This window comes from Homo sapiens, chromosome 12 (genome assembly GCF_000001405.40).
Source record: "Homo sapiens chromosome 12, GRCh38.p14 Primary Assembly".
Lineage (NCBI taxonomy): Eukaryota > Metazoa > Chordata > Mammalia > Primates > Hominidae > Homo > Homo sapiens.
Genome location: NC_000012.12, coordinates 32,704,129 through 32,725,516, shown reverse-complemented (window position 1 = coordinate 32,725,516; position 21,388 = coordinate 32,704,129). Strand labels below are relative to the sequence as shown.

The following is a 21,388-nucleotide window of genomic DNA, read 5'->3' as shown; positions in this document are numbered from 1 at the left end:
GTGACATAGTTAACTGTAAAGTAACCTGACTCAGTATAGTTACTGGTACCACAGTGAGGTGAATAAAACAGGATTTTTCAGAAGTTAGCCTGAATTTCACTGTACTTTTAAATTTAACCTCCATTAACTAAGCATCTTTTCTTTGTGGTAGGGTCTACCTTCTGCTTCCCTGGAAAGGATGAACTTACATCATTTGACAAGACCTGTTTTCAAGTTATTTGTTGTTTGTTTGCTTGTTTTTGTAGCCTAAAATAAAAATTTCAAATACAATTTTAGTTCTTACAAGATGTCTTAATTTTGTACCAATTCAGGTAGAAGGAGAGGCCTAGCTTGAATTAAGGGTTATACTCAGTTTTTACCACATTATTGAAAAGGGTACCAGCTTTGGAAAGAGATACTATACTAATAAGCAAGTGTAAAAAAAAAGAAGAAGAAGAAGAAAATCTTCAGTGATACGATGCTTTAAAAAAAAAAATTAAAGTTCATTTTCTTTGGGGTAGAGCTAGAGAGAATGCCCCAAGCTTCTGTGTGGTTTCTTCTAATTCTTATTGCTTGAAGTATGAGTATGTCACTTACCCATGCTTCTGTTTACTATGTATTAAAATGTGTAGTACTGTTTACTTAACTACCTCATGGATGTGTTAAGGCATATTCAGTTAAATCTCATAAAATGTTTCTCATTCTCATTAAAAGCTCACATTTTGGGCCTATTTGTAATGCCAGTGTTGACACTCAGCATTTTGTTCACACCATGCTTTGACAACTAAACTGGAAAACAGTTATCAAACTAAACTATCAGTTAGTGATCTTTGTGTGGCTTCTATATATATTATTATATATATTATTATTTTTTATATATATATTAAATATTTAATTTATATTTAATTAATATAATTTATATATATATATATATATATATATATTTTTTTTTTTTTTTTTTGGAGATAGAGTCTCTCTCTGTTGCCCAGGCTGGAGTGCAGTGGTGCGATCTCAGCTCACTGCAACCTCCACCACCTGGGTTCAAGCGATTCTCCTGCCTCAGCCTCCTAAGTAGCTGGGATTACAGGCACGTGCCACCACGCCCAGCTAATTTTTGTATTTTTAGTAGAGATGGGGTTTCACCATATTGGCCAGGATGGTCTTGATCTCTCGACCTCGTAATCTGCCTGCCTCAGCCTCCCAAAGTGCTGGGATTACAGGCGTGAGCCACTGCGCCTGGCCAATGTGGCTCCTATTTTTATAGAAGTAGATGGATGCACTATTTCACAAGGTCCAACAATTTTTTTCTGTATGACTGCATAGTAGTAAATACTACAGGGATAGCACATAGTATTGTAGTCATGAGATTAAAGTAGAGATAAGACTATTTTTGACAAAAGATGCCATTAAATTTCAGACTGTAGTGCCACATTTACAATACCTCAGGCTAATTACTGTTAATTTTGAGGCAACTTTCTTTTGACGATGGCGAGGGTGGACTATTGGATTGTCATTAGAGGAAGGTCTAGATTTCCTGCTCTTAACAAAATTACATTGAATTCATTTTTAGAGGTGATGAAAACTTCCTTTTTGAGAAGTTAGTGTTCAGGTCTTGGAATGTGAACACATTGTTTGTAATGCTATCCATTCCTCTCCTGAGATTTTAACTTACTACTGGAAATCCTTAACCAATTATAATAGCTTTGTTCTATTTTCAAAATCATTTCCTTTGCTTTGATTAGACACTCTGTTTTTTTGTTTGTTTTGGTAGCCGTAGTTCATCTAAATGCAGCTTTTTCTGAACTTTAAAGATAGAATCCCTGTTTTTTTTTTTTTTTTTTTTTGAGACAGAGTCTTGCTCTGTTGCCCAGGCTGGAGTGCAGTGGCACCATCTCGGCTCACCACAACCTCCGCCTCACGGGTTCAAGCAATTCTCCTGCCTCAGCCTCCCAAGTAGCTGGGATTACAGCTGCCCACCACCACGCCCGGCTAGTTTTTGTATTTTTAGTAGAGATGGGGTTTCACCATGTTAGCCAGGCTGGTCTTGAACTGATGTCAGGTGATTCACCCGCCTCAGCCTCCCAAAGTGCTGGGATTACAGGCATGAGCCACTGTGCCTGGCCAGAATCCCATTTTTAACGAACTGAGGTAGCAAAATAATCTTTTTCATTCTTTTAGGAAATAGTTATTGCCAAAGTGAAGGTGTCGATAATACCTGGTCTTGTTATATAATGGGGATGTGGTTTGCAGAAGAATTTTCTTTATAAAATTGAAGTTTCAAGGGATATCAGTGTTTATGCCATTTTTCCAGTTCCAAAATTATTCCATTCCATTCTAGAAATCTGAAGTATGTAACTTGAAATCCTTAATAAAATTTGGATTCAATTAAAAAAAAAAAAGGATGGAATTTCAATATGTTGCCCAGGCTGGACTTGAACTCCTGAGCTCAAGGAATTCTCCTACCTCAGCCTTCTGAGTAGCTGGGACTACAGGTGCACACCAACATGTAATTTTGTTTTTATGTTTTATTTTTACTTATCTGCATTTTCTAATTTTTGTGAGCAATTATACTGTGTGTACTAAAGAAACAAACACTTTAAAAGCTAAATTATTTTTAAATACTTATTAAAATATTTAATACTTATTAAATACTTATAAAAATAAGTAAATACTTATAAAATATTAAAATATTTAAAAATATGTGACAATTTTACTTTGCTTTATATCATTTACAAAGCATATTTTCACACAACCAGACATCATCCTATTATCTCTACAAAGTTATATTTTTGTTTTATAGAAAATAAATCTTAATCAGATAATCTGAGCTGAAGTCATCTTCACAAAAGGAAAAGTGACCTAGCAATCTAGGTAACCAAATCTACAGAAAAATTTCTTACTTACAGCTCCGAAGTTTCAATATATTTTGCAGTTCCTTCAATAGTGTTACAATATTCTGTGGCAAATTTGGTAATAAGTTGGAGTAAAGTAGCACTTTTATCATCCACGGGTTCACCGTAGCTATTTAGAAGAGACTGATACTGAGCAGCTAGAACATTTATTCTTGTTTTCAACTCTGGTAAACAATCTCTGATGTGATGCATCAGTAACCTAAAAAAGGTTAGAAAGGAAGGATTTAAAAGTAAAATTGTGTATTCTAAAGCCCTAAACAAGTCAAATTTTTACAATGGGGAAAACCTATCAAATAATTTGTCCTGGCAAATGTGATACTGTGAAATATATATTTGGTCTTTGTCTTCATTTCCTGGCAGTCAGCTCCTAAAATCCTTGGACTCTCCAAGAGCATTAAGGGTGTTTAGAGTGTCTCTGCATGCTAATGAGATGACTGGTGGCTGGGGGTCCCTAGATAGCTTCAGGATGGGAGCTGGTCACCAGAACAGCCTCAGAAGAGAGGAGAGAGGCCAAACATTGAGCTGATCACCAATGGCCAATGAAGCTTCCATAAAAACTCAAAAGGACACAGTTCATGGAGTCTTCAGAGAGTTGAACACATGAAGGTTCCTGGAGTGTGGTGTGCCCAGAGAGGGCACGGAAGCTCCACATTCCTTCCCACATGCCCAGCCCTGTGCATCTCTTCATCTGGCTATTTATCTATATCCTTTGTAATATGCTTTACAGTAAGTGGGTATATGCTAAGTAGTGTTTCCCTGACCTCTGTGAGCCACTCTAACAAATTCATCAAACATGAAAAGGGGATCATGGGTACCCTGACTTATAGCCTGTCAGTCAGAAACACAGGCTACAACCTGTGCTTACAACTGGCATCTGACTTGGGGGCAGTCTTGTGGGACTGAACCCTCAACCTGTGGGCGCTGACACTATCTCCAGGTAAACAGTGTTAGCATTGAATTAAAGGACATTCAGCTAGAATCCCCTGGAGAATTCCTTGCTTGATGTATGGGGAAAACTCCCCATATATCTGCTCTCAAAAGCATTCTGTGCTATACTGATTAACTGTGTGTGAAAAGGAAAAAAACAATTTTGATTGGTTTTTCCTAAATAATAAAAGCAAGGAAAAAATGCAAATTATTTTCATATTACTGCAATTACCACAGAGAAAATAAGCCACCCAATCAATTCTTCCTATATAATTTTGGTTTCATTGACTTGTCATTTACAATTGGTACCCAGCAAAGTGAAAATCAACCTTATTAAGATCCAAGTCTATCAGTCTTTAGGGAATAAGATAAAAGTAAGAGAAAATGGCTTCCACTTCAGTCATTTATAAATCATCTAGAAAGGGCTTCTAGTCCCCACACATCAGTGGGTATTCAGAATCCAACGTATAGTTATTTCTACAGTGAATAGAAATAAAAGACATTCTATTTCTTTGTTTTTCCATCTCCCTTTCCTGGTAAATAAAACACATTCTAAGGTAAGAATAGATAATGTGAAAATTACAAATTTTAATCAGTTCCTGAAATGCAAAGTGGAAATGAAGTCATCTCTAGTTCTAGCCACAAAACTAAATTAACTGTCAAAATTTTCGTAATTAAAACATTTTAAAATCACTTGTACATTCATTCTAGACTACGTGATGATGTAATGTCAACCACCCCAATAAAAACAGAGACATCTACTCTTCAGGAACCTACTATATAAGAAACCATAAGTGAAGCTGTTAGGAACAGTATGAAAATGTAAGGAACTGAAAATGAACCCTCTCAGACACCAATTGGTAAAAACAAACACATCTCATTTCCAAAAGGTAAAAAAATTACCTGTTTAGAGTCCTAGCAAGATACTTTGTTCCATTTCTATTGGCCAGAGATGGATATTTCTTTTGAAGAAAAGCATACTCATCACGGATTGAATCAGTTACACTCTTCTTGTTGTTAATATCTAGCTGGCTCCTGAGGTTGAAAAAATAACGAAACTATTCAGCTTAACTGTTGTCCTCTTCCTACCTTAGATGATGACAGCACCAGGCATTGTTCTCTAATACCTGACAGGGACTGTTTTATTTAATTCTCACAATAATTTTATGTGGCAGGTATTATTACCCCATTGTATAGCAAGGAACTGAGGCTCACAAAAACTAACTTACCCCAGGTCACACACTAACTGGCATAGCCAAGACTTGAACTAAGTGAATTGTAAGTAACTAGTGCCTAAATAGAGTAGGCCTCATTATTACCATTAACTATAGACAAAAACAATAAGTAACAGGTATAGACAGGTATAAAAATATAAGAGTATCTTAGTCAACTGTATATTTTATCCATGGACAGGGAACTAATTTCTCCCAAAAATAATTAAGTTAACTTGAAGAACAATCATCTACAAACAACGAACAGTGTTAGGCCACCTCCTTACCTGAAAAAGGAGACAGCTGGAATTGGGAGTGGGGATGGGAGAATGACAGTGGGGATGGGAGAATGACAGTAGGGTTGGAATGGAAGGACATTAAAATAGAAGCAGACAACTGGAATGGATCTTATGTATCAGGCAGTAAAAACATTTTCATTTTCTAAAGGCTTGAGACCCAAAGACATTAGGTGTCATTTAAACCTACGTTGTATCTAGTTTATGTAAGAACTAGGACTATAACTCAGATTTCATGATAATTTCAGTGTTTCCTACCATATGAAGGCTTTGGACTAAAAGAGATATTCATCCGAATCCAGCTCTTTCACTACCCACGTGACTTTTGGTTAAATGTATAACCTGAGGTTTCTGATTATAAAATAGACATCAACACCTACCTCAGGGGATGCTGTGAGGATTCCAAGAGATACCATTTGCAAATTGCTCACAGTAGAGTGTCTAAAACGTAATTAGACACTCAATAATAATTTCCTTTTCCCGATTTTTAATACCAACTATTTATAATTAGGATACCTTTAATAAAATTTCTCCAAGTCACATCCTGGCAATTACACAGAATCACTAATGCTAGGGATTAAACCAATCTATTAAAATCTTGTCACCTTTAATTAGACACTCAATACTAGTTTCCTTTTCCCAGTTTTTAATACCAACTATTTATAAATTAGGATACCTTTAATACAATTTCTCCAAGTCACATCCTGGCAATTACACAGAAGCATCACTAATGCCAGGGATTAAAACCAATCTATTAAAATCCTGCCACCTTAAACTCTTTCTCGATTGGGTGCACATTAGATAATTTTTCCCTTACCCAGTACCTCCTCATACATAGCTTAACATGATAGGCAAGAATTCTTAAAGCCTGGCTATTACAACATTTCTTCCATTTTGTGGTATTGCTTACTTTAGAAACATTTTCCAGTAAAAATGTCTATGGGGCAGGCACAGTGGCTCATGCCTGTAATCCCAGCACCTGGGAAACCAAGGTTGGAGGATTGCTTGAGCCCAGGAAGTCGAGACAAGCCTGGGCAACATGGCAAGACCTTGTCACTACAAAAAAATTTAAAATTAGCCAGGTGTGGTGATACACACCTATAGTCTCAGCTACTTGAAAGGCTGAAGTGAAAGGATCACTTGAGCCCAGAGGTTGATGCTACAATGAGCCACAATCACGCCACTGCATTCCAGCCTAGGCAACAGAGAGAGACCCTATTTCAAAAAAAAAAAAAAATTCTCTCTCTTTTCTCCCTTTAGGGCAACGGATTCTTTAGCAATACCAAGATCATAATAAAAGGGAGAAAAAATATAGTACAGCATCACATTTCAAACAGATTTTAGAAATTCAGACTTGCTCTGAAGTGAGAATGCTTATCCCATTCTAAGAATGCTTATCCCAATTCTTATCCCATTCTAACTGCTAACCTGTTAACTACTCCAATTATTCCAAGTTTGACTGGAATAACCCTTCCCATCAATACATCCATGGCATCAGTACCCGCATCCATGAGATCAAGTTTAGTGATTACAGCTAGGGTTCTGCGACCTGGTAAATGCAAAAAGAAAAAAGGGCAAAGAAAAGAAAGAAAATGATCCATTAAATACAACTATTTAGTGTTAATAAAGGAAAACCCTCATCTACAATCCCACTTAGTATTACCTCTGTCATCATTTTGGTAATGCCTTACTTACCAGTGCTTTTTTAAAAATAATGTTAAACATTGTGTATAATTTTTTAAAACATTTTTGCCGGGCACGGTGGCTCACACCTGTAATTCTAGCAGTTTGGAAGGCCAAGGCGGGTGGATCACCTGAGATCAGGAGTTTGAGACCAGCCTGACTAACATGGTAAAACCCCATCTCTACTAAAAATACAAAAATTAGCCAGGCACAGTGGCAGACGCCTGTAATCCCAGCTGCTCGGGAGGCTGAAGCAGGAGAATTGCTTGAACCCGAGAGGCAGAGGTTGCAGTGAGCTGAGATCGTGCCATTGCACTTCGGCCTGGGTGACAGAGCAGGACTCCATCTAAAATATATATATATACTATACATATAAAATATATATACTATATTATATATAAAATATATATAGTATATATATAAAATATGTATAGTATATATATAAAATATGTATAGTATATATAGTATGTATAGTATATATTTATAATATATATACTATATATATTATATATACTATACATACTATATATACTATATATAATATATATACTATATATACTATATTTTATATATATATAAAATATATACTATATTTTATATATATACTATATATAGTATATATAAATATATATAGTATATACTATATATAGTATATTTATAAAATATATATAGTATATACTATATATATTTTATAGTATATATATTTCAGTTACAAATATATATATCTACCTAGGTATATATATTTTTTATATATATATCTACCTAGGTATATGTATTTTTTATATATATATCTACCTAGGTATATGTATTTTTTATATATATATCTACCTAGGTATATGTATTTTTTATATATATATCTACCTAGGTATATGTATTTTTTATATATATATCTACCTAGGTATATGTATTTTTTATATATATATCTACCTAGGTATATATATTTGTAACTGAAAAATGCCATAGGTAAAATTGTACACTATGCAGAGCAGGACTCCGTCTAAAATATATATATATACTATATATATATAATATATATACTATATATTTAAAATATATATAGTATATATTTAAAATATATATAGTATATATTTAAAATATATATTATATATTATATATACTATATATTATATATAGTATATATATTATATATACTATATATAATATATAGTATATATAAAATATATAGTGTATATATAATATATAGTATATATAAAATATATAGTGTATATATAATATATAGTATATATATACTATATATACTATATATAAAATATATATAATATATACTATATATTTTATAGTATATATAAATATATATAGTATATACTATATATATTTTATAGTATATATATTTCAGTTACAAATATATATACATAGGTATATATATAAAATATATATAAATATATAAAATATATATATAAAATATATATATATACCTATGTATATATATTTGTAACTGAAAAATACCATAGGTAAAATTGTACACTATGCAGAGCAGTTGGAACTCTCACACGTTGCTGGTGGGAGTGGTGTAGTCATTTTGGGAAACAGTCTGGCAGTTTCTTATAAAGTTAAATTAGCAGTCCCATTCCTAGGTGTTTAACCATGTTAAGTGAGAACCAGTGTTCATATAAAAAACTATATGCAAATATCTACAGCAGCTTTATTCATAATTTTCAAAAACTAGAAACAACTCACATATTTCTCAGATGGGTAGTGAAATACCTATGGTATTTTCAGTTACTATATATATATATATATATATACTATATATAGTGTATATATACTCTATATATAGTATATATATAAAATAGATTTTTTTCACATGTAATTTTTTGTTGACTCTTAGGGCTATTTTGTAAGCATTTCAAAAATCTGTATAAAATTTACATCCAGGTGATATGGCCCATGCCTGTAATCCTAACACTTTGGAAGGCCAAGGCAGACAGATTGCTTGAGCCCAGGAGTTCGAGACCAGTCTGGGCAAAGTGGTGAAACTCTGTCTCTACAAAAAATAGAAAACGTAGCAGGGTGTGGTAGTCCTAGCTACAGGTGAGGCTGAGGTGGGAGAATCACCTGAGCCCAGGTCAAGGCTGCAGTGAGCCGTGATTGCACCACTGCACTCCACCCTGGGCAACAGAATGAGACCCTGTCTCAATAAACAAAAAATAAAAATATTTACTCTTTTTTGGTGTACAGTTCTAAGAGTTTTGACAAATGCCAAGAGATATGTCACAACCAACTCAAGACATTGCCACCCCCCCCCACCAAATTTTCTTATGCTAACCAATCAAACCAGTTTTCCATTCCTAGTTTTGCCTTTTCTAGAGTGTTATATAAACGAAATCAGATAGTACATAACCTTTTGAGTCTGGCTTCTTTCATTTAGCATAATGCATTTGAGATTCATCCGTGTTCTTGTATATTAATAGTCCATTCCTTTTTATTGCAGAGTAGTGTCCCATTGTATGGAATGTACCATACTTTAGTTTCACTCCCCATCTGAGGAATATGTGAGTTGTTTCTAGTTTTTGAAAATTATGAATAAAGCTGCTGTAGACATTTGCATATAGTTTTTTATATGAACACTGGTTCTCACTTAACATGGTTAAACACCTAGGAACGGGACTGCTAATTTAACTTTATAAGAAACTGCCAGACTGTTTCCCAAAATGACTACACCACTCCCACCAGCAACGTGTGAGAGTTCCAACTGCTCTGCATAGTGTACAATTTTACCTATGGTATTTTTCAGTTACAAGCATTTTTCTTTTTTTTTGAGACTGTCCTACTCTGTTGTCCAGGCTGAAATGCAGTGGCACAATCTCGGCTCATTGTAACCTTCGCCTCCACAGTTCAAGTGATTCTCATGTCTCAGCCTCCCCAGTAGCTGGGACTACAGGCATGCACCACCATGCCTGGCTAATTTTTGTATTTTTAGAGAGATGGGGTTTCACCATGTTGGTCAGGCTGCTCTGGAACTTCTGGTCTCAAGCGATCCGCTCACCTCAGCCTCCCAAAGTGCTGGGATTACAAGTGTGAGCCACCATGCCCAGCCTACAAGCATTTTTCTGTACTGCTACAAATCTACAAAATCATCCTTTTTAATTATTTCATATTTTATTATTATAATTTACTTAATCTTTCCAACTGCTGGCCATATTAAGTTGTTTCTAATTTTTTATACTATAAATAATACTGGGCTGGATTATTTCCTTATGATGTATTACTAGATTATGATTAGTAATCAAACCAGGTGCAGTGGCTCACTCTTGCAATCCCAACACTTTGGGAGACTGAGGTGGGAAGATCACTTGAGCCCAGGACTGCAAGTTTGCAGTGAGGCATGATTGTGCCACTGCACTCCAGGCCTGGGCAACAGAGTGAGACCCTACATCCAAAAAAAAAAAAAAAAGATTAGATTAAAAATATGACAATATCTATGGCTCAAGGGTCAGTTTAAAATAGAGTTTATACATATAAAATGCTTAACAGGTTTTTGTTTGTTTTTTACGAAGGTCTGGCTCTGAGCCCAGGCAAGAGTGCAATGGCATGATCTCGGCTCACTGCAACCTCTGCCTCCCGGGCTCAAGCCATCCTCCCACCTCAGCATCCCAAGTAGCTAGGACCACAGCCCAGTGCCACCATACCCAGCTAATTGTTTTTTGTGGTTTTTTTTTTTTAATAGAGATGGGGCTCTCACTTTGCTGCCCAGGCTGGTCTCGAACTCCTGAGCTCAAGTGATCCACCCACCTTGGCCTCCCAAAGTGCTTGGTATTACGGGCATGAGCCACTGAGCCCAGTCTACTTTAAATAATAAAAATAAAATGTAAATAAACTCTTTGATATAGTTTATCTTTTAATTTAACTGAAATGAACATTATTTACTCAAGTGGTAAAAAAGAGTTTCTTAAAAACTTGAAATATAAAATATTGGGGCCAAGCACGGTGGCTCACACCTGTAATCCCAGCACTCTGGGAGGCCGAGGCGGGCGGATCACGAGGTCAGGAGATCGAGACCATCCTGGCTAACACGGTGAAACCCCGTCTCTACTAAAAATACAAAAAATTAGCCAGGCGTGGTGGCAGGCGCCTGTAGTCCCAGCTACTCAGGAGGCTGAGGCAGGAGAATGGCGTGAACCCGGGAGGCAGAGCTTGCAGTGAACCGAGATCGCGCCACTGCACTCCAGCCTGGGAGATAGAGCAAGACTCCATCTCAAAAAAAAAAAAAAAAAAAATTGTTAAAGTGACCCTGCTTATGGGAATTTTTATTGGCAGATTGGCAGTCTTAGCACTATTTCCTATCAAATTTTTATTTGAAATTATTCTTCAAAGCAGGGAAAGAAAAACATGACACAACCTTCAGACCCTCTGAATAGTAAGGTGAAAAAAATGGTTTCTATATGAGGCCATGCATACATTTGTTAGCAACAATAGTAACCACTCTCTTACAAGCTAGCATTTTATATATACTATGAGATGTGCACTACATCATTAGTCAAGCATCAGTGACCCACAGTATGAACTAATCCTTGGGGCTAAAATGCTTCATGAAAGGATTTTACCTTCATTTCTAAAAATCCCCTGTGCCTTGAGCATGTCTAAATATTATCTACCTCTGCAGAATGTAGATACCATAATTCTCTACTGTACCATAATAATCTACAATGATTACCTACTGTGTTTTGGTTTTTTTTAACAGACAGAGTCTATGTTGCCCGGGCTGACTTTGAACTCCTGGCCTCACGCAATGCTCCCATCTCAGCCTTCTGAGTAGCTGGGACGGCAGGCACATGTGACCACACCTGGCTATGTTATTTATTCTTAAAAGTCAACTATTCAAATACCTAGGTCACAAAACAAGAAATCCTTTTTGCAAAGCCACCGTATTATTTTTAAATTATTAGGTAACCATTACAAATAAAGTTGTAAAATATTTTCGCCTAGTCTGTATAGCAACTTAATAACCTTATTTTCCATCAGAATTTCTATTTTTATAAACAAAAATAGGAAAGCATTATCTTTTAAATTTGTATTCAAAACCAGAGATACTGTTTTTAAAGAGAAAAATTCCTTTCTCAAGGGTAGATTTACCATTGTAAAATAAGCATCTCATTAAATTAACATCTGTCCTTACCATCTGGATCTACCTCTCTTGAAATTTTAAGTGCCTCTGATGTTGCCATATCTGTATTAGCAGCAGTGACAGCGAGGATAATGGAATTAGGATTACTGATGAACCGAAGAATGAGCTCTCTGATTTGAAGCTCAATATCCTTAGGTTGATCACCTACAGGCACCTAAACCAAACAGAGATGAGCAAGGAACTAATAATTAAAAATCAACTCAGCTTTTTTACCCACATTTAATCGATAGAATATAGGTATATCCATTTAAAAATAGTTAAAATAAAAATAAAGACATTACTAATATACTACAATGGTATTTATGAATCTGGTAATGTGTCAAGTCTCAAAGTGTAACTCTTGCAAATATCAAAAGTTGATTTAATACAGTCCCATGTTAAGAACTGGTCAATGTTGATTGGCTAGATACAAATTCATTCACTCATTCATTCAATTACCAAGTGTTTACTGGCAGCCTACTCTATTTTAGGCACTTTTCTGAACGTGATTTCAGGTCATGTCAGATTATGTTACAGTAGTGAATTTTAAAAAGACCAAACTTTCTGCCTTCGTAGAACTTATGTTTTAGTAATAACACGCATATAATAAACAAAAACATATATATAGTATACAGATGGTGGTAAGGGCTGTGGGAAAATAAGGCAGAACAGCAGGCTAGGGAATGATTAGAGATGATTTTTTTCTTTTTTTTTTTTTTTTTTTTTTTTTTTTTGAGACAGGGTCTCACTCTATCACATAGGCTGGAGTGCAGTGGTGCGATCATAGCTCACTGTATCTTCAAACTCCTGGGCTCAAATGATCCTCCTGCCTCAGCCTCCCAAAGTGCTAGAACTACAAGCATAAGCCACTCTGCACCTGGCCATTAGGATTATGATTTTAATGTTTTAAATTGGATTATGTTTTTAAATAGAGTAATCAGGGAAACTTCACTGAGACAACTGACACTTAAGAGAATGAGCAGAAATTAAGCCAATAAGGGAGCAATAACATACAGACATCTGGGGGAAGAAATTCCAAAGAGAGTGAACAATAAGGGCAGGAGGCTGAAGCAACAGGAGTTAGGAGAAGAATAGGGACGTAACAAGTAGATATTTTAGACCTCTGTAATAACTTGGGCTTTTAGTGAAATGGGAGAGGTTTTAAGTCAAGGAATGACAAGGAACTGGAGAAGTTTTGAGCCAAGAAATGACACAATCGAATTTTCACTTTAATCGTATCACTGTCTACTAAGATGAGATCACAAGGACGACCTATTATTGATTATTGTGCAGTAATCCAGGTAGCATGATAGTGGCTAGATCAGGACAGTAAATATGAATTTATAAAACACGATTGAGTTCTGGATATACTGTAAAGGTAGGAAGAGCCAAGAGGATTTGCTGGCAGGAAGTGGAATGTGGGATAAATTAGTGTCAAGGATGACTACAAACTCTGGCTAAGCAATTGGTAGAATGGAGTTGCCATTTATTTATTTATTTAGAGACAGGGTCTCACTCTGTTGGCCAGGTTGGAGTGCAGTGATGCAATCATAGCTCACCGTAGCCTCAAATTCCTAGGCTCAAGCAATCCTCTTGCCTCAGCTGGGACTACATGTGTGCACCACCATGCCCGACTAATTTTTGTATTTTTTGTAGAGACGTGGTCTCCCTATGTTGCCCAGGCTGGTCTCAAACTCCTGGTCTCAAAGAATTCCTCCCACCTTGATCTCCCAAAGTGCTGGGATTACAGGATAAGCCACTGCACCAAACAGAGATGGCCAAGGAACTAACAATTAAAAATCAACTCAGCTTTTTTATGAGTTGCCAATAAATGGCATGAGTTGCCATTTATTGCGATGGGGGAAGACTATAGAAATACCAAATCTAGTTGAGGAACAGGTCAGGAATTCGGTATTAGAGTTTGAAATGTCTATTAGACATTTAAGTGTATATGTCGAATAGCAACTAGATATACAAGTCTGGAGATATTTGAATGCCGTCAATATACAGAGCCTTACGTAGTTAAAGCCATAAAATCTGATGAAATCATCAAAGGGAAAGTGTACCTAGAGAAAACGAGAGTTCCATAAACTGAGCTCTGGGGCACTTACTGTTTAGACATTGGGGAGATGAGAAGAAACAGCAAAAGAGACTGAAAAGGAGTGGCCAGTGAGACTGGAGATAAACCTGTAGAGTGTGGTATCCTGGAAGCCAAGTAAAGAAAGTGTTTCAAGGAGAAAGGAGGGCTCAACGTTATCAAATGCTGCTAACAGATCAAAGTGATTGCAAAAAGAAGCTGATTATTCTCATATGGGATGTCAACGAAGTGAAAACAACCTGACCAAATCTACAACTATTCCTTCCTTACCTTGGTCATTCCTGGCAAATCCACAAGTGTCAAATTGACAACGTTGGGTGAAAAAATCTTAAGATGAATTGGTTCAGGGCTTACTCCCTAAAAATAAATTTTAAAATATATTAAAATTTCAATGAACTATGAAGTAATAAACTTCATTTCAAGTACATAGACATTAATGCTTTTAAAAATGAATTAAATCATGATTCCTAAAACTTTTTTTTAACAATCAAAACCTGATGAAACACATGGGAAGTCAGGTAGCCAGCCATATTAACAGGTTATAATCCTACTTCTATCCCTGTATCATGTTATATGTACATGTATTATATACCATGTATTATTTTACATTCTTTTCTCTTGATTATAAACATAAATTTTTCCTTTGCTTTCTTTTTTTTTTTTTTTTGAGACAAGGTCTCACTCTGTCACACAGGCTGGAGTGCAGTGGTGCAATCATGGCTCACTGCAGCCTCAAAATCCTGGGCTCAAGCAATCTCTTGCCTTAGCCTCCTGAGTAGCTGGGACTACAAGGTGTGCACCACCATGTCCAGATAATTTCTTGTTTATATTTTGTAGAGACCGGGTATTACAATGTTGCCCAGGCTGGCATATGCCATTCCTTAAATATGTTTAATAGATTTAGTGCTGAATAAAAGAATAATGTATTCCTCACTATCCAAATTTATGAGGTTCCGAGTTCAGAGAGTAAGGCGTAGATAACAAGTTGTCCAAATCAGCCTGGTTCCTGATCTTTGAATATCAAGTGGCAAGAATGTGTACAGTAAGAGATTTCTCAAGAAGTTTATCTAACTCTTTAATCTCTAGTAAGAATTTGGATAGTGAGAGGTAACGTGTATTTTCTCTCCTGCAGACTAAGAATACTGCGTAGGCTCCCTCCTCTTCACCACTGGCCCTCTACAAGTATTAGGATTGAATCAACTACATGTAAAAAGACACTTATGAGATGTTTATACCCTGTCTTTGTACATGCCCTTCTTTAGCCTTTAATATATCCTCTCATCACCTGTTTAACTACCTTATGTTTTCCCTCATTAGCCCACTGAAAATTCTAATTTCCCAGCAAGTTTTTAATATCCTTTACTCCACATTCCCTATACAATTATATTTGCTATTTTAGATTACTCTGTGCTATTTTTCCATTATAAATACTCCAGTGTTCCAAAGCCAACAAATGTCACTATCTGGCATACCTACTTAGGTTGTATATTTCTCAGGATCTTTATTGCCATGGCATTCCCCTATCAGTCCAATACAAAGCTCTGCCCAGTACCTTTGCAACTCCAAACTCACAGACATTTTAAATCCTTCAGGGCTATATGTTAGGCATATGCAGTCATTTACATATTTTGACATAAAAATTATATAAGATCAAAATATCATTTACTTCATTACATACGTGATTTGGGAAAGAAGAGATGTTTCATAGATTTGGGGTTGGGGGACTTTTCATCTTTTAGACACTGTGGATGAAAAGCTGCTAGGTAAGTAAATTATATCCTCAACATAAATTAAACATCTTGTAGGTATAGACTCAATCTTCAATGACATTCAGTTTAGTGTAACTAAAAACATTTCTGAATCATCACAACACTCTAAATTCTGGTACTGTGTAAAATTACCACCAATTGCTGAGTTCAGTAAGTAAATGGGGACTGTAGGAGAGAGAATTCAGACTGATGTTATGATCAATAACATTCCAAAAGCCAAAAATATCCCTGATATAATTAGAGGAATGACGATAAGCTAATCTAGTTTCTGGCCACTTTTTCAACCCGTTCTATACAACATGGTTACTAGAAATTCAGGAAAGTATGGCAACAGTAGCAGTAGCTCAAAGGTAACCAGCCTAGAGTTCAACAATGAACAAAGCTCAGTCAGTCACTGTAACAGCAACAAATATCCTGAACAGTCATAAAGGTTAACATGACTCTAAAAATGCCTTTCTGTCAGGAAATAATCTTTTAGCATAGTAACTGGCAGATACAAGGATTCAATATTTGTTGAATATTAGTACTAGGCTAGGGCCCACTTGTGGGATTAAATGTGCCTCTGGATAATATAAGAATGGAGCTAAGAACAAAAAGGAAGGGAAATAAAAATCTCAAGAGATAATATATATCTCTTGAAATATAAAGAGAAAAATAATAGGAATAAAGAAGACAGAAGACAGCAGGATTCAGGCAAGGCAGTGATAGTACCTAGTGTCAAGATTAACAGTATCTTAGATACATAACTTACTTCACATTCTCACAATCTCAGAAAATAAGAAAACCAGTTGCTAATGTATTATTTTCATTTTCACTAAAAAAAAGAAAAAAAAATTCCCAATTTGTCTCTTTTTGCTTTCATAAGCAAATCTAGCCATACACAGGTAAGAAAAGAACTCCTCAAAAGATATATATATAAGTGAAACAATGCTTCCTGAGTTAGAGTACAATCAATCCATCAGAAAAAGATAACTTATTGTAGCAATACTAAGTAGAATTATATAATAATGTGGCATGTACATGACAGGAACAACAATAAACATCTAAATAAAATATTTGATTTATATGAAAGCTTTAAGAAAGAAAAGGGATTTTAAGCAAAGTTCTATATATCTGTGAAAATACTCCATTTGTTTCAAAGTCCATTATGAATTTACAATGTCCATCGCTTCTCGGCCTTTTGGCTAAGATCAAGAGTAGGAATTTACAATGCCCTTCACATATTATGTACAGAATACCTCAATTATATATTTACTGATGCTTATGCCTTCTAGCTCTAAAAAGATGCCTACCTTATTATTTCCTGAAATTCTTTCTGTTTCATTTTCAATTTCTTGTCGAATTTCATCAAAATCCGTGTAAAGCTAAAAATTTTTGAAATAAAAAAGCATAATATTCAAAATAAGATCAAAAGTTCTTAAGCTGGAGGGGGAGTCCATATACTTCAAGGATGTCTATGTATTTGCTTCAGAAAATAAATAAAATTCTAATGTATACATATTTTCTGAGCTAAGGATTTATAGTTTTTTTATGAGTTTTTTTCTGTTTGGCTTTTTTTTTTTCTTTGAGAGAGGGTCTGACTCTGTCACCCAGACTGGAGTACAGTGGCACAATCACGGCTCACTGCAGCCTCAACCTCACATCCTCAAGCCATCCTCCCGACTCAGCCTTCCAAGTAGCTAGGACTACAGGTGCATGCCACCACGCGGGGCTAATTTTTTTTAGTTTTTATAGAGACAGGGTCCCCCTATATTGCCTAGGCTGGACTCGAACTCCTGGGCTCAAGTGACCCACCCACTTTAGCCTCCCTAAGTACTGGGATTACTTGCATTAGCCACTATGCCTGGCCATTACGAACTTTTCAAAGCTTCCTGATCCCACAACAATTAAGAATCACCAAATCACAGAGAAAATCGGCCTCAATTTCAAGTGTTTTCCAATAAACAATTGTGGTTAGAAATGTTACTAAGATTTATTTTATAAGGAATAGTTATAGTTACTTTAAAATAACGTAATTGCCAATGATTAGAAACTAAATTATCAAGTATTCATACAATATATTTTTTTCAACATTATTTCTTCATTATATGCATGTGTGATTACCTTATTTTTGGTGTGAAGAAATTTACCCCATTCTTCTGCTTCCACCCCTGGAAAAAAGAAAAACTCATTTATTGGAAACTATGGAAACTACTTTTTATCTTTAGGAATTCAAAAAGGCAACATAATAAAACACTTCTTAACTTGTATTTAATTTTGCCATTAAGTACAAGTTAACAAGTATTTTAAGGTCTGCTAAATTATATTTTTCTAAAATTGTATTTTCTGCTAAATTATATTTTAAAAATTGTATGGTGTATTTCAAAAACATGACCAACTTCAGGCAGAGCTGCTCACAGGTCTTCCCACTAGTTGAAATCTAGATTTTGCAAATAAAATTGTTTATTTCTCTTCATATTTTTTTGTGTAGTTATATTACAGTAAAAGGAATATTCTTTAGTTTTGAAAATCTTACATATAAAAGCAGTTTTCTGACGAAAATAAAGTTAGTAGCTAAGAAGAAAAATTAAGAATCCCACTGAGTAGTGCAAAAAACATATGTAACAGATGTACACATATGACTCAAGGAAAAATTTTACAATGTGTCAATGAAACAGCTAATTCTTCAGTTCTTTTTAAAAATTTGGTTTCCTGTTGGTTACCTGTAGAGCCACAACTTGCTGTTCCTTTAAAGAGCTCTCTCATTATTATAGAGCTAGCTGCTTTGTAATTTACACACACTTTCAAGGTGATTTTCCCCCAGGGTCAAGACTGTTTTCCCTTGGAACTGGAGGCAGGAAAGAAATAAAATGGAAGAAAAGGAAAAACAAGAACCCTGGTATATGCAGCGTAAGGAGTTGCCACTCTCCATTAGTTTCCAGTCATAGGTCTGTTCCTCTTGTACTTGCTGAAAGAAGGAAAATAGATTCACTGTTGCACTGTGTGAAGTAGTCTAAAACTTGGAGAGCAAGATATAGTCTGTTTTTCCCAGAAAAACTAGAACTGTTTAATTGTGGAAAGATAATCTAACTTTATCTCCTCCAAACACAGCTGTTTTGCTTTTGTCAAATTTAGAGAAGGTTAAAATATCTTAATAAGTGTATTGAATAATGCATATCAGCCTCCTGAGGTCTAAATAAAAATGATCATAAGATATTCAGACAAACAGAAGAGTGAGTCGGTCCTTTGGTGGAATAAAGGTAAATAAAACCGGATCCTTTTTGCAGATAAAATGCTCACCTACTTGTAGCTTAGTACCTTCTTCCAAGAAGTCTCATTGGAGGACTGGAGTAATCTAGGTGAACAGAACTCACAAAATGCAAGTACTACATACCAAAGAGCTGTTTCTAATTTATCTTATTATATTTAAAAAGGCTTGGCTTCACAAGCATGTCTTCAAAAATAAAAATAAAATAAATTACATTCACCACCAAAAAAGCTTGCATTTTGATGCAATGCCAAAAAAAATAACAAGAACCACTAAAACCTGCAATCAATGTGGATGGGCAAATAAAAATGGAAGAAAAAAAAATACACACAGCCTGTAATAGTACATAAGCACACATGCAGGCATAAGAGAAAAAAAGGGTCAAAAGCAAATGGATAAAGGAAACCTTTAGAAAGGTGTCTTGAGTTTTTCCATGTAGCAGGGTCTGTAGTTAAAGAGAAACAGCACAGAATAAGTTTAGTGCTTATCCCTAAAATTTTAAACCTTATTAAAAATTCAAATGTGCAGAAACCTGATCACATTTCAAATGCACATAGCATTCAATTATTCAAAATTTACTGACGAAAGTAAAGTTAGTGGCTAAGAAGAAAAATTAAGAATCCCACTGCGCAGTGCAAAATACAACTAGAATTAGAGGGATGTATATAATATTTTTAAGTCATAGAAACAAAGCATATTGCTTGCCATAACTTATTTTTAACATTTTTAGGAAACAACCTTTCCAATATAATTAGTTATATCTGGCTTGTCTGAAGGTAGTTATCTCAATTGACTGTTCAGTCAGTTACAGATGGAACTCCTTGTTCTACTCTTTCCCGCCTTACTACTGCACTTGACTAGTCTAAAAAATAAAAATTAAATTTTTAAAATTAATAAAAAAGTTATGTGACCATTATTTCTAATTCTGACACAAATGAAGCACAATTAATTCACTATTCAAAAATTTGGGCCAAGTGTGGGGCTCACACTTCTAATCTCAGCACTTTGAGAAGCCGAGGCAGACGGATCACCTGAGGTCAGGAGTTCAAGACCAGCCTGGCCAACATGGCAAAACCCCGTCTCTACTAAAAATACAAAAATTAGCTGGGCGTAGTGGCACACGCCTGTAATCCCAGCTACTCAGGAGGCTGAGGCAGGAGAATTGCTTGAACCCAGGAGGTTTCAGTGAGCTGAGATCATTGTGCCACTGCACACCAGCCTGGGCAACAGAGCAAGACTCTGCCTTAAAAAAAAAAAAAAAAAAAAAAACTTTGCCTGAGATATCTGATAACCTACTACAGGAAAAGATAAATTGCCTGATTTTTAAAAATCTACAAAATATACTAAATACATCTTTCAAAACCTTAAAAGTTGGTAAGTATATGCAAGTATTTGCCCCATTAGCTAAGACTGGACTATATAAGGGTATTTTATTTGAAACATACATTGGATTTAATAGAACACTGCAGAAAGTTAACTCTTGACCTTCGTGGACTCAGTCCAAAGGGAGACTACTACGTGTATCACAGCACCCTATGCAGAAAAATTAATCCTATCTTTTTCCTTTAATTCTAATGTGTAATTTTACTGCTTTTTGGGGGGCAACTGATTGCTTTTACAAATAGGTTACTTAATGAAATGGGGGTAAAATTTCAAATTATACCAAGATTTTAAGCATTATTCTACGAAACATGTATGTTTGCATTTTTTTTTTTTTTTTAAGACGGAGTCTTGCTCTGTTGCCCAGGCTGGAGTGCAATGGCTCGATCTCGGCTCACTACAACCTCCGCCTCCCGGGTTCAAGCGATTCTCCTGCCTCAGCCTCCCGATTAGCTGGGATTACAGGCACCCGCCACCACACCTAGCTTATTTTTGTATTTTTAGTAGAGATGGGGTTTCACCACGTTGGCCAGGCTGGTCTCGAACTCCTGACCTCAGGTGATCCACCCGCCTCGGCCTCCCAAAGTGCTAGGATTACAGGCGTGAGCCACCGCGCCCGGCCTATGTTTGCATTTTTTAAAAAGAAAACAAAAAACTTTTGCTTTAGTTCAACAACTTTTCTCCCCAAAATAAATTTTTTTTTCACATTTTTTTTCAAATTTCTACTGACACTGTTCAGAAGTATCATATATAGCACAATT

The 21,388-nt window shown here is 35.4% G+C and overlaps 1 protein-coding gene across 10 annotated transcripts in view; it reads right to left on the bottom strand.

The window, feature by feature from the left end:
• Positions 1 to 21,388, bottom strand: part of DNM1L (dynamin 1 like) — a 66,350-nt gene that overhangs the window by 20,134 nt on the left and 24,828 nt on the right. For 4 of the 10 annotated variants that reach the window (NM_001278464.2, NM_001278465.2, XM_011520543.4 and 1 more), the window contains exons 3-10: positions 19,654 to 19,692; positions 18,104 to 18,150; positions 17,293 to 17,364; positions 14,502 to 14,588; positions 12,146 to 12,308; positions 6,754 to 6,874; positions 4,722 to 4,853; positions 2,884 to 3,090 (exon numbers count right to left, since the gene is read on the bottom strand). In NM_001278464.2, coding sequence (NP_001265393.1) covers positions 2,884 to 3,090; positions 4,722 to 4,853; positions 6,754 to 6,874; positions 12,146 to 12,308; positions 14,502 to 14,588; positions 17,293 to 17,364; positions 18,104 to 18,150; positions 19,654 to 19,692 — 868 coding nt within the window. Of the gene's footprint in view, positions 1 to 2,883; positions 3,091 to 4,721; positions 4,854 to 6,753; positions 6,875 to 12,145; positions 12,309 to 14,501; positions 14,589 to 17,292; positions 17,365 to 18,103; positions 18,151 to 19,653; positions 19,693 to 21,388 lie in introns of those variants that run through there. The other 6 variants (NM_012062.5, NM_001278463.2, NM_012063.4 and 3 more) reach the window with 3 other exon arrangements.